The sequence below is a fragment of the Homo sapiens genome, chromosome 12, assembly GCF_000001405.40.
Source record: "Homo sapiens chromosome 12, GRCh38.p14 Primary Assembly".
Taxonomy (NCBI): domain Eukaryota; kingdom Metazoa; phylum Chordata; class Mammalia; order Primates; family Hominidae; genus Homo; species Homo sapiens.
The window spans coordinates 131,224,283-131,241,206 of NC_000012.12; the positions used below are offsets into that span (position 1 = coordinate 131,224,283).

Genomic DNA, 16,924 nt, shown 5'->3' on the forward strand with positions numbered 1-16,924 from the left:
GCAGGTGTGCTGTGCTGAAGCAGTGGGGCCAGGTGTGAAACAGGAGGCATGGCCAGGTTGGAGGGGCGGGGTCAAACCACAGGGGCGGGGCCACGGTGGGGGTGTGGTCAGGGTGTGGTCAAGCTGTAGGGGAGGGGCGGGCTCGATCTGCGGGAACGAGAGGTGTGGTCAAGGTGTGGTCAAGTCATGGGGGGTGGGGCCAGGATGGAGGGGTGGGGTCAAGCCACAGGGGCTGGTCAGGGTGGAGAGGTGTGGTTACACCGTAAAGGCAGGGCCAGGGTAGAGGTGAGGGATCAGAGAAGGAAATGGCTAGAAAGAGGGGGTGGGGATAGGATGGACAGGGGTGGCCAAGCCATGGGTGTGGAGATAGGGGTGGGGCCAGGGTGAGGGGAGGAGCCAGACAGAAGGGTGGGGCCAGGGTGAAGGGCATGGTCTAACCATGGAGTGCTGTCAAGCACTGGGGGAAGCCAGGATGGAGGGGCAAGGTCAAACCACAGGGGTGGGGCCAAGGTGGAGACGTGTGGTCGGGGTGTGGTCAGGCCATAGGGGCGGGGCCACATTGGAGGGGGCTGGGTCAGGCGTGGGCGGGGCCAGGCTGGAGGGGCAGAGCCAGGCAGGGGGTGTGGTCACACTGTCCTGTAACGGGAGGGAGGACACACACATCCTGACACCCAGCCTTTGAGGTCTCCACGGGTCTCACAGCCCGTACCTCACTGCGTCCATCTCTTCCCCCACTTCATGACTGGCCCTCAAGAGTCAGGAGTGAATGAACCCCACTGCACAGTGTGTGACACATCACATCTCATCTCTCTGCGCGTGGATTCCCTCAGGCTTCAGGCTTTATGATGTATTTTCGTTCCTTCCCATTCCTCCTCCCATTCCCCTCCCTGCCGTTAGGAAATCACTGAGCCGTGTGTAATGACGATCTTTTTATTGGGACGTGTTCTTGGAGAGTGCCCGTTGCTGTTTCCGGGCATGAACGTCAATGGTCTCATGTGATTAATTTCATTCTGTGTATTTGTAAACTTTTACAAATAATCATGTTTTAAAGATGCTCTCATATCGCTCCGTGTGCACCAGCTCATGCTGTCTCATTGCTGCATGGTTCTCCGTGTGCGCCCACCCCATTTTCCTCTCTGTTCTCCCAGGGACACCCACCCAGGTCCTGTGCCCCTCCCGGCCCCCACAGACAGGCTCAGAGGTCATCTGTGGGCCTCAGAGGTCATCTGTGGGCCTGGGTCAGCACCTCCCTGGGTGTCTACTTGAGGTGGGACCGCTGGGTCCAGGGCCCTCCGTCCACCCCCACCTGCAGGACATCCCTGCGTCCCTGCCCAGGCTGGGAGCCGCCAGCTTCCTAATCACCGCCAGGAGTGACAGGAGACAGCCTGGGTGTGGCATCTTGGCCTGTTGGGATTTCCTCTCCTGGGTGTTGCCTGCTCACATCGCTCTGTCCATTCTTTGGGATTTCTCCTTGTTTCCTTGTTGATTTACAAAGTTACATTGTATATTTGACACACTGATCACGTTCCAGTTTTAAACTTTGCAAATCTCTTTTCCCATTTTGCCAGTCGTCTAATGATTTTGTTCATGGTCTTCTTCATTAAGCAGGCATCCTTTGTTTTGATGTGACAAAACTAATCATTTTTCTATGGTTTATGCTTTCCAAATGTGTTTAAAAAATTGTTCCCAGGCACAAGTTCCCAAAGACTCTATATGTTTTCGTATTTTCTCTCTTTTCATATTCAGGTTTTTAATCCATCTAGACTCCATCTTTGTTTGCAGTATTGGTTAGCGATTCAGTCTTACTTTCCTCCACACAGACAACCCGTTTTCCCAGTACCGGTTTTACACAGCCCATCTTCTATCAATGGTTTGTGGAGCCGGTTTCATCACAGTTTTAATAAATATCATGTGAACATGTTACTTAGCTTGGTTGGTATTCCTGAAATGTTCTATTTTCTGTGGACTGTGCTCCTTGGGTAAAATAAACCCAAACCACACAGTATAATGAAAATGTCATGATCATCAACAGCCAAATGCCTCCTGCTTTTCCTCCAGCTGCGGTGCTGGTTAAGAGCAGAGCTTTGGAGCCTATCAGGCCTGGTCCCCAGAAGCAGATCCTGGGATGAGGACTCAGGAACAGGTGGTGCATGAAGGGAGGGCCGGGAGGGAGCCGGGACAGGGATGGGGTCAGGGCAAGCAAAGCTGTGAGCACCAGGTCTCCTGACTGCAATGGCTTCCTTGTGGTCCTGCAGGGGCGCCCTGGAGCGTGAACCCAGCCTCAGCCACCCTGTTGGAGGCTCCCACACCCCTGTCACTGGTCAAGGCCTCGCTAGGTGGGGAGGATGAGAGCCAGCGAGCTGCTGAGTGTGGAACAACTCGCTCCCAGGGGCAGCAGCAGCACAGCCCCTGCCAGCTTCCTGGGATGTGAATAATTTCACTATGACTGACGTTCAGCCTGTGTCATACCTGGTTTATATAATTCCTGAAAACTGTAAACACCAAAATCATATCCCACAAGCTGGGAGGAGGCAGCTTCAGCATGGCTGGCCCCCAGGCCACTCCAGCTCACTGCAGTGGGGCCGGTTGGGCTCAGTGGCCTAAGGACAGTTGTCCAAAGAGGAGTGTCAGGAGCCAGCCCTGGAGAGAGAAGAACACAGAAGCCCAAGAGGGGGTCCTGGGAATGCTCAGGGCCAGAGGATCTGAGTGGAGTCCCCCTGGTGTCCAGGCCCCTGGGGTCGGGATTCCTCTCCTCCCCCCAGCTCAGGCAGGTCCTAGAAGGTTATCAGGGAGCTGTATCTGTCCCACAGCAGCCTGTGGGAGCCGACTCTCACATCTGAGGGTTTTTATGAGCCAGCTGTTAAATTGGTTCCATCAGCCTGCCATGGCCGTAAAATGCACCAGCCATGCCCATCCCCTCCTGGGGAGAGGAGTTCAAGCTCACAGAGACCCTCAGTGCCAAGATCAAACCCAGGTGATATGGTTTGTCTGTGTCCCCACCCAAATCTCAACTTAAACCGTATCTCGCAGAATTCCCACATGTTGTGAGAGGGACTCCGTGGAGGTAATTGAATCATGGGGGCCAGTCTTTCCTGTGCTATTCTCATGATAGTGAATAAGTCTCATGAGATCTGATGGGTTTATCAGGGGTTTCTGCTTTTGTTTCTTCCTGATTCTCTCTTGCCGCCACTGTGGAAGAAGTGGCTTTCGCCCTCCGCCATGATTGTGAGACCTCCCCAGTCATGTGGACTGAAAGTCAAATTAAACCTCCTTTTCTTCCCAGCCTCAGGTATGACTTTATTAGCAGTATGAAAACAGACTAATACACCAGGCCATTCTGCACTTTTGAGGGGTGACAGCATGCTGGCAGTCCTCACAGCCCTTGCTCGCTCTCCACGCCTCCTCTGCCTGGGCTCCCACTTTGGCAGCACTTGAGGAGTCCTTCAGCCCACCGCTGCACTGTGGGAGCCCCTTTCTGGGCTGGCCAAGGCCGGAGCCCACTCCCTCAGCTTGCAGGGAGGTGTGGGGGGAGAGGCGGGAGTGGGAACCGGTGCTGCGTGTGGCGCTTGCGGGCCAGCTGGAGTTCCGGGTGAGGGTGGACTTGGTGGGCCCCGCACTCGGAGCAGCCGGCCGGCCCTGCTGGCCCCGGGCAATGAGGGACTTAGCACCCGGGCCAGTGGCTGCGGAGGGTGTACTGGGTCCCCCAGCAGTGCCAGCCCACCAGCGCTGCGCTCGATTTCTCGCCGGGCCTTAGCTGCCTCCCCTCGGGGCAGGGCTCGGGACCTGCAGCCCGCCATGCCTGAGCCTCCCACCCCCTCCATGGGCTCCTGTGCGGCCCGAGCCTCCCCGACGAGCACCACCCCCTGCTCCACGGCGCCCAGTCCCATCGACCACCCAAGGGCTGAGGAGTGCGAGCGCATGGCGCGGGACTGGCAGGCAGCTCCACCTGCAGCCCCGGTGCGGGATCCACTGGGTGAAGCCAGCTGGGCTCCGGAGTCTGGTGGGGCATTGGAGAACCTTTATGTCTAGCTCAGGGATTGTAAATACACCAATTGGCACTCTGTATCTAGCTCAAGGTTTGTAAACACACCAATCAGCCCCCTGTGTCTAGCTCAGGGTTTGTGAGTGCACCAATCCACACTGTATCTAGCTGCTCTGGTGGGGCCTTGGAGAACCTTTATGTCTAGCTCAGGGATTGTAAATATGCCAGTCAGCACTCTGTATCTAGCTACTCTGGTGAGGACGTGGAGAACCTTTATGTCTAGCTCAGGGATTGTAAATATGCCAATCGGCACTCTGTATCTAGCTCAAGGTTTGTAAACACACCAATCAGCCCCCTGTGTCTAGCTCAGGGATTGTAAATACACCAATCGACACTGCATCTAGCTACTCTGGTGGGGGCCTTGGAGAATCTTTCTGTCAACACTCTGTATCTAGTTAATCTAGTGGGGATGTGGAGAACCTTTATGTCTAGCTCAGGGATTGTAAATGCACCAATCAGCGCCCTGTTAAAACAGGCCACTCGGCTCTACCAATCAGCAGGATGGTAGATAAGAGAATAAAAGCAGGGTGGGGCCAGATAAGGGAATAAAAGCAGGCTGCCCGAGCCAGCAGTGGCAACCCTCTCGGGTCCCCTTCCACACTGTGGAAGCTTTGTTTTTTCGCTCTTTGCAATAAATCTTGCTGCTGCTCACTCTGTGGGTCCACGCTGCTTTTATGAGCTGTAACACTCACCACGAAGGTCTGCAGCTTCACTCCTGAGCCAGCGAGACCACGAGCCCACTGGGAAGAATGAACAACTCCAGACGCACTGCCTTAAGAGCTGTAACACTCACCGCGAAGGTCTGCAGCTTCACTCCTGAGCCAGTGAGACCACGAACCCACCAGAAGGAAGAAACTCCGAACACATCCGAACATCAGAAGGGACAGACTCCAGACACGCCACCTTAAGAGCTGTAACACTCACTGTGAGGGTCCATGGCTTCATTCTTGAAGTCAGTGAGACCAAGAACCCACAAATTCTGGACACACTTTCAGCCAACAAGGCAAATCAACATTCTCAGGGCTAGGCTGTGAGGCCAGCCTGTGAGGGAAGCAGGTGTCCCTGCAGCTCTGGCCTCCACTGCTGGGGTGGGGTGGGGAGGGAGGCCTGTGCCCCAAGGAGTGGCCAAGGCAAAGGGGCCCCTCTTTCCCGAGCTGACATCAGGGTGTCAGGACAAGAGCAGAGAGAACTGAATGACCCAGCTCTGGCCTCCACCTGGTGGGACCCGGCCTCCCTGCAGACCCACCTGCAGCCGCTGTCCCTGCTGGAGGGACAGAGAACAGCCCGCCCTGCAGGCCACAGGGACCACCCAGACCCTGAGCTGTGAGGAGACCCTGGAAAGTGGGAGCGCTGGTTACAGAGACTTCTTCTGGAAGGAGAAACCCCCTCACAGGCACCAAGGGAGCAAAGTGCCCCTGGAAACACAGCTGATCCCTCCAGCAAATAAATTTCCAGGCAGATTTGAATTTCAGATAAACAGGAATGATTGTTACTCTAAGTATGCCCCCCCGTGGGTAGTGCTCCCAGCAGATGGGCCTGCTCCATCAGGAGGAGGCGGGGACTGTGGGCAGGGAGGACCCGTGTCTGCCCTGAGCCCCAGGACACAGATCACTCTGGAGGGGCGGGCCACACGGTCACAGGAAACACTGGGCTGAAAACACTCCCGATAATCTTTTGAAAGCTTATCCTGTGCACTAATTTCCCTAGAAGATTCTCTGTGGGTGGGAAACAAGGTGTATCCTGTAGCTCAGGGATGAGGACAGCAGAGAAATGGCCCTTTTCAACATTGATGTGCCCCGGGCATGTTTATGGGCCGGGAAGAGGCAGCCAGAGGACAGGAAACAGTTGGAGGGGGAGGAAGCCTGGGGCCTCTTATCACTGAGGGGCAGGTGAGGGCGGGGGGCCGGGCTGGCTGCAGCCATCAGCAGCTCTCCTGAGCCGGGAGGGGAGAGGTGGCGGGAGGTGCTCAGACCTGTCCTGCCTTCCTATCTGTACACAGATGTCTTATGTATAATATGTAAGGACATTGAACACATTGATGTGTCACATATTTAGCTCTTGGATAGACAACTTTTTTCTAAAATCTGTTATTTTGCTTTTCAGTATCCATTTCCCATCCTCTTGCTAAACGAACCCCCGTGTTCTTTTGGGTAATCAGTCAGATCCGCTGACACTGCAGTTCCCGTGGTTTAGGAGGAACTAACCCTGCCCCTCCATTCCCGGAGTCCATGTCTGACCCATCAGAACCAGTAAGAGGACAGGGAGCTTTCTCTCATCACCAGGATCCTGTTGCAAAAAGTCAGAATCGGTGCATGAAACCACCACCCAAGGACACATTTTTCATTATTTCAAATGGAAAAAATTACAACACTTCGTCCTAAAATTTCTGCTCAATCCCCTAAAACAGTTAAAGCACAGGAAAATGCTTACATATGAAGATCCAGCTATCATGTCAGGGTGCACAATACTGACAGGGTCCCTTCTTGATGGGCAAATACATGATCAACAGGGTTGTCAGCTGACCGCCACCTGTGCGCGGATGGAGCCCCCTGCCCAGCAGCTCGCGTCAGTGCGGGTGAGCGACCCTCAGCCCCTGCTGGCATCTGGTGCACTTTTCAACACAGGTCTACGTGATCACCACAGGCATATTCGGAAGTCACTTGATTTGTTCCTGGATATTGTTTTTTTACACGTATATTAAGATTTGTTAATGGGAGTTGGATTCATTCTTATGTAATCAGCCATTTTTTCAAGGAGACATCTGCACATTCTATGAATTTTGGATATTAAAACCAAGAGGTGACTCACTGCAATCCCAGCCAAGCCCAGGAAGGCATTCTGCAGATTATGTCAACTGAGTCTGACGTTCTATGGAAAGGCGAAAGTCCTCGAACAGCCAACACCGTGAGGAAGAACAGAGTTGGAGAACCCACATACCTAACTTCAAGCCTTATCTTAAAACGACAGTAATCGCGACAGAGTGGTATCAGTGCAAGAACAGACAGACAGACCACTGGGATGAAACAGGGAGCCAGGAGTAGGCCCACAGAAGCCCCGTCAGCTGATCTGCGATGGGGAAAAGCCGGCTCTGGTGTGGCCTTTGCCCAGCGGCCACCGTTCAGGATGGGGGAGCAAGGACACAGGTGACGCCAGGGCCCCACAGGGAAGAGCTGGGCCAGCAAACATCTTCCGTCAAGACCCAGAGCCCGTGAGGCCTGCAAACATCTTTTCAGGGCACACAGGCTCTGATGCAGCTACTAAAACCTGCCATTGTTGTGTGACAGCCACTCGGGAAACAAAGACCCAGCCCACGTGCAGACCCCTCTTCATGGGCCCAGCAGAGGTGAATGGGCCCCGAGAGGATCCCACGGGCTTTCCCCAGAGGACGAGGCCATGCCGGGGCCTCATTACCCACAGATGTCACACGGCTCCTCCTCCTCCCCTCCTCCTCCTCCCCTCCGCCTCCTCTTCCTGTTGCTCTTCTTCCTCCTCTTCCTCTTCCTCCTTCTCCTCCTCCTCTTCCTCCTCTTCTCCTCATCCTCCCCTCTTCCTCCCCTCCTCCTCTTCCTCTTGCTCTTCCTCCTCCTCCTCCCCTCCTCCTCCTCCTCACCTCCTCCTCCTCCTGTCCCTGGTGGGTGAGCCATCAGCAGTGACCAGCCACACACTTTGAGTCTGGGGACAGCAACCTGGATTCCGGTCTTGCCTCTGCCTTAGCCTCACTCTGTGGCCCTGGGTGAGTCCTGTCCCTTCTCCAGGCCTCAGTTTCCTCACTCATAAAATGAGGAAATTGGACTCGTTCTTGGCTCCTCAAACTCCAGTCTTCACTTCCCACCTTCCATGTTCCATACACATTACTTATTCCACGTTTTTCTTTAAATCATCTCACTTTCACTTCACTAAATTCCTCTAAAGAGGAAACATATTTCACCACCATAAGCAGAAAATCATTCTCACTTACCATAAGCAGAAGGTGGCTTGAACGTGAAATGAAGACAAAATGATGTTATTCACAACTAGCTAAGGCCTCGTCTGCCCAAAGCTCTGAGTCTGATGCCCACTCACAGGGGTTGAAAAATCAAACACCACCGGGGGCCAGGATGGGATTTTATTTGCATGTTAAAATGATAATGATGAGGCAGAAACTTAACAATCTATATTCTTCAGGTGTACAGGCTCACTCAACCCTCGTAAGAGCCAGAAAAGGGGCCGGATGCGGTGGCTCACCCCTGTAATCCCAGCACTTTGGGAGGCCGAGATGGGTGGATTGCTTGAGCCCAGGAGTTTGAGACCAGCCTGGGCAACATAGTGAGGCCCCATCTCTATTAAAATTGGTTTTAAAAAAGAGCCAGAAGTGGCAGGTGCTGTTCTCATCCCCACTTCACAGACGAGGAACCTGAGGGTCCGAGACACAGGAAGCTGCTTGATCCTCCAGCCAGGATGAGGCTGAGGGAGAGCCCAGGCCAACCCGCTCTTGGAGTTTGGACTTTCAACCGCGAATTTTCCACAACCGTATGGAAATGTTCGTCCAGGGGTTCTGGAAACACTCAGTCCCCATGGTCTGTCTTCTGTTTTCCTATTTTTGGTAAGCATTAAAAACAAAACAAAACAAAACAAAAGCTCTTCCCTTTCCCTGTTGGTCCATTCTGAGGAAGCGTCACCCAATGTGGTGACAAACAGTAAGTGGCATCAGCCCCAGCGTGGCAGTGATAGGGCGTGGTGGGGACTGTGGCGCGGAGAGTCCCCACAGGAAAGGGAGCAGCGGCTTCACCCACAGATGCTGCAGCAAGGAGAGCCCCGTGCCAGCTGCCCAGGCTGTTGGATCCGTTCAGGGATCCGGCTTGCACGTGGGCCCACGAAGGGGGTCTGCACGCAGGCAGGGTCTCTGTTCCCCGAGCGTCTATCCCCAGCACCCACAGCAGTGCCCAGCTCAGCTAGGGTGCAATAAATGATGTGTGAACTGGTGAATTCATGGAAATCTCCCACTTTTTACCTATTGGGGATTAATTCCATGTTTTAAGTCTGGGCCGGCAGTGCCACGTGGTCCTCCAGGTGTGTCCTCTGTCAGGTGCTAGAGGACACCCCAAGGTCAGCAGGGGCTTCTGCTGGGTCTCTGAGCCATTATTCTCTCGCCTGCCTCACGTGAACACAGGTTTCCTGGGTGGAGTTTAGTTGAGAGATCGCAGTCATTCGCAGGAGGAAACCTGCTGCTCCCTCAGGGGTGCAGTGAGTTTCAGGCATTAGGACGGAGCCAACACCCAGGCTTCCTAAAGCCCTGAACATAAATTTCTCTCAACTCCCTTTTCTTGGGAATTAGCAAATCAAACACTGTATTTTTCAGTGTCTCAAATCTTGCTTCCTTCCAGCTGAGCCCAAGGAGAGTGAAGGGCAGAGGGTGGCACAGGGTGGAGATTTGAGAAGTTTAATTAAAGCCTCAGGTTCAGGCGCAGGGTGATCCTGATCCATCACCAAGGTGTGGCCGCTCCCACTTCATGAAAAGACAGCCCAGCCCTGAGGATCAGAGCCATCTCTCAGATGGAGGAGAAGTCAACGCCTGACAGCCTTCGCTCATTTGACAGATGCTTCCCCTGAATTCTCCTCTTGGTAATAAAGTGGTCTCCATGGTAACTGTTGAGGCCTTGATGATGGATTAGACAGGCTATTTTTAATCATCCTGAAAACAATGTTGGCAGGCATGTAAAATCCTTCCAGAATCTTCCAGCTCAGCCGAGCCACCAGCAGGATGCAACTGAGGAAGTGAACCCAGGCAACGCCACAGCAGAAGAGCCACCCAGCTGGGCCCTGCCCAAGATCCTGACCACAGAATTGTGAGAAATGATGGATTACTGATTTTGTTTGAAGTGACAGCATTTTTTGGGTGGTTTGTTAAGCGGTGAGACGTGAGTCAGGACAGGTGGTACAGATTGGGCATGGCTGGGACTTTAGTCAGCCAGGAGAAGTTGTCCGGCATGGCTGTCCACCGGTCTAGGACCCAGGCCACACCGCCCTGCACCTGGTTACCTGCAGCTCATGTTAGTGCTGCCTGGCTGTGTGTGTCCCCTCTTTCTCATTAGGTGCTTTAGTGCCCTCCTGGAATGTCAGGATTTAATTTCCATTCAGCTTTAATAAGTCCTCCTGGACCGTGTGCTCACAACTGAAATTAATTTCTCCAGCCTGGCTTTGGCGATTTTCATCCTTAATTCCTCTGTGTCCCCAGGGCACCTCCAAGCATGTTGTCTTAATTCATCTTCTGTGATTCAACAAAGGGATTGTCCCAGCGTGGGGCACCCGCATGCCATGCACGTCTCACCGCAGCCACACCTGGGCCAGGTAGGATTAGTTCAGAACTGCTTTTGAGGGGCTGTTGTCATGGACACCAAGGGGCAGGTCCATTTCTGGTCACAGACGTGCATCCAGCTTCTGTCTGCAGCCAAATGGAAGCAGCTGCATTTGCTGAAGCCACAGGGGCCTGTGGTCGCCGGTCCTGGGTCATTTTGCCTGCCTGGCATTTGTTCCCTCTCCTTCCAGTAACAAGCCCTGATGGGCTCTGCGCAGCCACACCTTCCCCCTCAGCTGTCACAGCCCCGTTGGAATTGCTTTCTCCTGGGCCAAGCATTTCACAGAGGCTGCACCACTCAGCCCCTCCTAGTCCGCTGGAGAAAGTGGCTGAGGGGGTGGTGGGGGATAATTGCATTTCCAAAGTCCGGGCAATCAGCCAATGTAAACAGGCACCTGCGTCACTGTGTGGGCTCTCTAGGCAACAGGTAAAATACATCAAATACACACAATTTCCTGACATTCCAATGCATTTCTGCGTGAGCTGGGATGGGGGAGGCCGCTGTTCCTCTGGGCTGTTTCTCCTCTCAGCTCTGAGCCGAGCAGCAGGTGGGCTCCTGAATCCCCATCTCCAGGCTCAGGGCTGCTGGCCACCTGCCTGACAGCCCCTTTCTCACCCGAGCCAGGGGCTCTCTGCCCTGCTCTGCAGAAACCTCCCTGGCCTGGCCACCTGCCTGACAGCCCCTTTCTCACCCGAGCCAGGGGCTCTCTGCCCTGCTCTGCAGAAACCTCCCTGGCCTGGCCACCTGCCTGACAGCTCCTTTCTTTTTGTGTTTTCTTTTTTTTTTTTTTTTTTGAGATGGACTTTCACTCTTGTTGCCTAGGCTGGGGTGCAATGGCGTGATCTCGACTCACTGCAACTTTTGCCTCCCAGGTTCAAGCGATTCTTCTCCCTCAGCCTCCAGAGTAGCTGGGATTATAGGCATACACCACCACACCCGGCTAATTTTGTATTTTTAGTAGAGATGGGGGTTTCTCCATGTTGGTCAGGCTGGTCGGGAACTCCCAACCTCAGGTGATCCACCTGTCTTGGCTTCCCAAAGTGCTGGGATTACAGGTGTAAGCCACTGCGCCTGGCCTGACAGCCCCTTTCTCACCGGAGCCAGGCGCTCTCTGCCCTGCTCTGCAGAAACCTCCCTGGCCTGGCCAGCAGCCTCAGAGGCCTCAGAAAATGTCCTGGCTGCAGGTGAAAGAAGACGAGGGTGCAGCTTCCCCAGCGTGCTCTGAGCTCAACCCACCAGACACAACCCCCTCTCACGGTCACACGGGCCCCCGGGCTCCCCTGTGGGAAAGGCCAGTGGAAATGGCAGCATGGACGGAGGCATCCATGGCCCTGTGATGCATGGCTGTGTCAGTGGATGATCTGAGAATTCACCCGGTCCCCAGCACCCCATATCCGCCACCCCATCCTGCTGCTCTTCTCTTTCTCTCTCATGACCTTCTGCCCCTCTGGGCTCCTCACTGAGGACCACCAGGACTGTCCCCGACACCGATGCTAGCTGGGATGTCCGGGCGTCCCTCCCACAAGGTCTGTGCCTGGAGAGGGATGGGCACTGGTGTAAGGCCCACTATGGGGGGAGACCAAGGGCGGGCAGCTCACCCAGGTGCTGAGGAATCCAGGCAGAGCACAGTGTCCTTTGCTGCAGGGTCTGAGGGCTCTCTGCCCATAGAGCTGCTGCGGCTACGCACTGTTACATCTCCGGAAGATGTGCCTTGTTATGCTCTCAGTACTTATAAAAAAGGAATTCTCTGTCCACAATTTATTCCTGTGCTTTAAAAGTTTGAATTCCAGTGGAAAAGCAGCAAGAAGACATGAGCCTCAAGGATGGTTCTGGAGATGGGTCTGATGATTGTGCTTGGTCCACCAAAGCTTCCCACGAGAACAGCATGTTTGTTTTTGCTGACACCCCCAGCCCCCAAGCTCAGTTCCTCTCTTGGGAGGCTGAGGGGTCACAGGGTCCTGAAGTGTCCCCGGGCTCACACCCAAATGGAAGACCTGTTTTCCTCAGGAAGTAATCCTCGCCAAGCATGTCAGGTGTAGGATACCATATGTCAGAAGTCACAACAGGAGGCCGGGCACGGTGGCTCACGCCTGTAATCCCAGCACTTTGGGAGGTTGAGGTGGATGGATCACCTGAGGTCAGGAGTTCAAGACCAGCCTGGGAAACATGATGAAACCCTGTCTCTACTAAAAATACAAAAATTAGCCGGGCGCAGTGGCACATGCCTGTAAATCCCAGCTACTCAGGAGGCTGAGGCCGGAGAATCGCTTGAGCCCGGGAGGTGGAGGTTGCAGTGAGCCAAGATCAGGCCACTGTACTCCAGCCTGGGTGACAGAGTGAGACTCTGTCTAAAACAAACAAACAAACAAAAAAAGAAGTCACAACGGGTGATGAAAAGCAAAACAATTTCATTTGCATCTCTCCAGTTCTTAGCAGGCTTCCACTGGGCGCTGAGTTCCAGGTCTATATTTATTCACCATCCGTTAAGTCACTGAATTTGAATTACACACTTTTGAGGATTCTGAATGGGAAGAGGCACTCATAAACTGCCTGCGTGTATAATCCTGAGCCTTGTTGCTGTGTCAGCCCCATGAAAGCTTGTTTATTGGTAAATATCAAAATGCAACATTTCCCTCAACTTACCTTTAATCCTCTTTTTATTACGTTTTCTAGACAGGAATTTCTTCTTTCAAGGAAGGCTGTCATAGAAAGACATGTCACCTTGAGGCGTTCCTTACCATTGTCAATAGTGGAGGACACGTTGTCTCTCTTCTCTTCTGTTTCAGCCCCACTGTGGGTCCTGCGAGTCTGCACCTACTGTAGCTCCACCGTGCTGTTTGTGCTCTTCCACCTCAGCCTCCCTGGATGGCTCTTTAAGTCAACTTGCATTTCCCTAGGAGAGGTTATCACTTCCTGGGTAGCTGGGCAGAGCCTGGAGTCAGGCAGCAGGGGTGGAGCCCTGGCTCTCCTTTCACCGGATGTGTGGCCTTGATAAAATCTTTCCATCAGGCCTGGAGGCTCACACCTATAATCCCAGCACTTTGGGAGGCTGAGCCAGGCAGATCACCTGAGGTCAGGAGTTCGAGACCAGCCTGGCCACCATGGTGAAATCTCCTCTGTACTAAAAATACAGAAATTAGCCAGGCATGGTGGCAAGTGCTTATAAGCCCAGCTACTGGGGAGGCTGAGGCAGAAGAATTGCTTGAACCCGGGAAGCAGAGGTTGCAGTGAGCCAAGATCATGCCACTGTACCCCAGCCTGGGTGACAAAGAATCCATCTCAAAAAAAAAAAAAAAAGTCTTTTCATCTCTGTCACCGTCAGTTTCCTACTCTTGGACTGATTGTAGGACATGTCACATAGAGCCAATGGATGAGTTACTAAATATACAGAGGTTAGTACCAAGCCTGGCTGGAACACAGCAAGTACTCAATAAATGCTAGCTATCATTATTATCATGATTATAATTCTAAACATTTTGTTGGCTTTCTATATTTCTTTGTTACCTCAGGAGACAGTGATTCCCATTCCCTAGAATATTTCTACTGTGGCTCCTGGTTATTTACAAAGTGTTGTCAAATCTGAAACAAAAGGAGAAAGACAGGAGAAATCCCTGCTGAAAAATAATAGCCACCATGTCTTGGGCATCTACTAGGTGCCAAAAACTGTATTAAGGACAATTGTGATCTGTCTTTTAATTCTCACAACATCCAAGTGAGATTTATGCTATGATCTTTTTCCTTTTTCAGACAAAGAAAACAAGGCCCGATGCCTGCAGCTAGCAAGTGGCAAAGCCAGCATTTGGATCAAAGACACACCCCCACTTTTCACCATGGGGTGTTTCTCCTTCCTGGTCCATCCCTAATTACCTTAAATCTAATCCTCAGTTCTCTCTAGCACAGTCCAAAATAGGACAGAACATCTCTCATTGTAGAGTGTGCTGTGCTGAGAACTTACTTGGAGAAATGAAGATTTAAAAATTTGTCCCCCCTCTTTCAGTTTTAGTTGTTTCCCATGGAGACAGGTCTACTGACCTATCTCCATGATTACTTATTCTTTCCTTACCTGTGTGTCAACTCTCCTTACCTGGTGTCAGACAGACAGTCTGGGGAAAGCATTCTGTAGCTCCTTTGTTGAGATTTTTCTCTTGCATGAGCATTTCATCATTTCATCCTCTGTGGTCCTTTCGATCTCTCTGCTGAAATTTGCTATATTCATTCATATTCTTCAATTTTCCATTGAAGCCTTTAATATATTAATCAAAATTATTTGACATTCACTGACTGACAGTTTCATTGTGTGTGATATCTGAGTATGGGTTTATCATGTTGTCTCTTGACGTTGGATTTTTTTCCTTGCCTTTTCTTGTGTTTTGTCATCTTTGGTTGGAAGTTAGATATGCGGACCAGGCACAGTGGCTCATGCCTGTAATCCCAGCACTTTGGGAGGCTGAAGCCGGCTTATTGGTTGAGCTCAGGAGTTCGAGACCGGCCTGGGCAACACAGCAAAACTGTGTCACCACCAAAAACACAAAAAACTAGCTGGGCATGGTGGTGTGCACCTGTGGTCCCAGCTACTTGGAAGACTGAGGTGGGAGAATTGTTTGAGCCCGGGAGGCAGAGGCTGCAGTGAGCTGAGATCATGCCATTGCAGTCCAGTCCAGGTGACAGAGTGAGACTCTGTCTCATTAAAAAAAAAAAAAAAGTTAAGACATGGCATAGACAATAGAAATTGAGGTAACGGTACTTGTACCTGAATTGGGCATATGCCTCTTCTTTAACTAGGCCTTTATTTGGGATGGGAGGTAAATGATTCTAGACAGTGAGCTGCGTTTAAATGTCTCTGTTCTGTGGTTACTCTCAGTGTACCACAAAGCTTCAAATTCTGCTAGTGTTACCTGTGTCTACAGTAGGGATTGAGTCACTGGAAAATTTTTCTCAATGCTCTTGCTTCACGCTCTGCTGTAGGCTGTATTTATGAGATTGAGCCTCAGACAGGGTCTCTCTATACCAGCTTAGCCCTCTCCCATGGGTTCTGTTTTGTCTTGTCAATGCCTGCTAACCTCATGATGAGGGCTGGGGCATTCTCTGTTTTCCTGGGTCAGCATAAGTATTAGGTAGGCTGCGTGTCACTGAGACTCAAGGGAAAGGCTCACCTAGTGCTTCTGCTCCCCCTCCAGCGGCATTCAAACTCTATCTTATCGTTTTGGTGTTTCTTGTGTGGGAGTTTCCAGCCCTCCCTCAACAGAAAGCATCTCTTACAATCTGGGCCTAGGGTATTTTTGGCTGTCCCCGGGGAGGGTGTTTCTCTCTTCCCTTTGTCTAGTCACAGTGGGTCTCTGTCTATGGCCTGGAGGCAGCATGATTTGTTGTCCCATCCCCAATGCCCTCAGTTGTTTAAGATTTTTGCTCCTTGGTGAGACTGGAGAGAAAGATCTAGGAAGGCTCTATCCATTTTCTACAGTGACAACTGTACCCTTTACCCAGGCTGATGCCACAGAAGGAAGCTTTCTCCACTCTCATCCTGGCTCCAATATTTCGAGTATATAGCAAGCTCCATGGGGAAACCTCTGAAAATGGCTGCACGCTGCCCATGTACCTGTGCCCACTAGGATTCTATACTCACCAGATAGAACACACATATAGAGCCTGTAGAAACTTGCTAAACATTTTGGAAGTAATGTTCTTAACAGCACTTATAGAAGCTTTGTGTTGTCCCCACTCCCTGTCCAAGTTAAGCCAGTTGCTCCCTCCCCATCTCTCCTTGGAGGCACCGTGATACCCCAGCTATCTAATGGCTTTAAGGAAATCCAGTATGATTTTGTAGATTACCTGGGTTTTCCTTGTTGTTAGTGTAGGAATTATGTTTTTTTATAGCATTTTACAACCTCAGTGGAAACCACACATAACCCTTTTTGTTAAGGGTGCTGTTTTTTTTTCATGACCTATTAGTCAGAAATTCAGGCCGGGCGCGGTGGCTCACGCCTGTAATCCCAGCACTTTGGGAGGCCGAGGCGAGCGGATCACGAGGTCAGGAGATCGAGACCATCCCGGCTAAAAACGGTGAAACCCCGTCTCTACTAAAAATACAAAAATTAGCCGGGCGTAGTGGCGGGCGCCTGTAGTCCCAGCTACTTGGGAGGCTGAGGCAGGAGAATGGCGTGAACCCGGGAGGCGGAGCTTGCAGTGAGCCGAGATCCCGCCACTGCACTCCAGCCTGGGCAACAGAGCGAGACTCCGTCTCAAAAAAAAAAATAAATAAAATAAAAAGAAATTCATTGCTTCACCACACATAGCTAAACAGAACACTGGAGAACGTAGTTTGTGTTCTAAATAGTCATGTACTTAGCTAAATATTTTAGACAATGGAAGATGCAAGGAATGGTCATTGAGGTATAACCAGTAGACTCTGCCACACCCTGGAAGTTTCTTATTCTTCACATTTTCCCCTTAATTTTATAAATAGAAATACTAAGGTTGAGAGAAGTGGCATCCTTTGTCCCAGTCACATGATTCCACAGCATCAGAGCTGAAGCATGAGCCAGTGTCT

General features: G+C 51.9%; 1 long non-coding RNA gene across 2 annotated transcripts in view, besides 4 other annotated features; it reads right to left on the reverse strand.

The window, feature by feature from the left end:
* Nucleotides 1-916: 916 nt before the first annotated feature.
* LOC105370082 (uncharacterized) overlaps nucleotides 917-16,924 on the reverse strand; it is a 37,563-nt gene continuing 21,555 nt past the window's right edge. For both annotated transcript variants that reach the window (XR_945559.3, XR_945558.3), the window contains exons 3-4: nucleotides 14,462-14,620; nucleotides 917-13,956 (exon numbers count right to left, since the gene is read on the reverse strand). This is a non-coding gene — a long non-coding RNA (uncharacterized LOC105370082). The remainder of the gene's footprint in view (nucleotides 13,957-14,461; nucleotides 14,621-16,924) is intronic.
* Nucleotides 5,742-6,036: an enhancer, noted in NCBI's record as "tiled region #713; K562 Activating DNase unmatched - State 1:Tss, and HepG2 Activating non-DNase unmatched - State 4:PromP". NCBI's record gives its function as "activates a minimal TATA promoter and a strong SV40 promoter by Sharpr-MPRA in K562 cells, with weaker activation in HepG2 cells {active_cell/tissue: HepG2 | K562}" and the evidence as "EXISTENCE:reporter gene assay evidence [ECO:0000049][PMID:27701403]".
* Nucleotides 5,742-6,104: a biological region, named in NCBI's record as "Sharpr-MPRA regulatory region 713".
* Nucleotides 5,908-6,104: a silencer, noted in NCBI's record as "fragment chr12:131714735-131714931 (GRCh37/hg19 assembly coordinates)". NCBI's record gives its function as "represses an EF-1alpha promoter that drives an FKBP-Casp9 reporter gene in an ReSE screen in phorbol 12-myristate 13-acetate-treated (for megakaryocytic differentiation) K562 erythroleukemia cells {active_cell/tissue: K562(+PMA)}" and the evidence as "EXISTENCE:reporter gene assay evidence [ECO:0000049][PMID:32094911]".
* Nucleotides 10,419-11,028: an enhancer, noted in NCBI's record as "H3K4me1 hESC enhancer chr12:131719246-131719855 (GRCh37/hg19 assembly coordinates)". NCBI's record gives its function as "activates a minimal SCP1, AML or CMV promoter by ChIP-STARR-seq in primed H9 embryonic stem cells {active_cell/tissue: H9 hESC(primed)}" and the evidence as "EXISTENCE:reporter gene assay evidence [ECO:0000049][PMID:30033119]".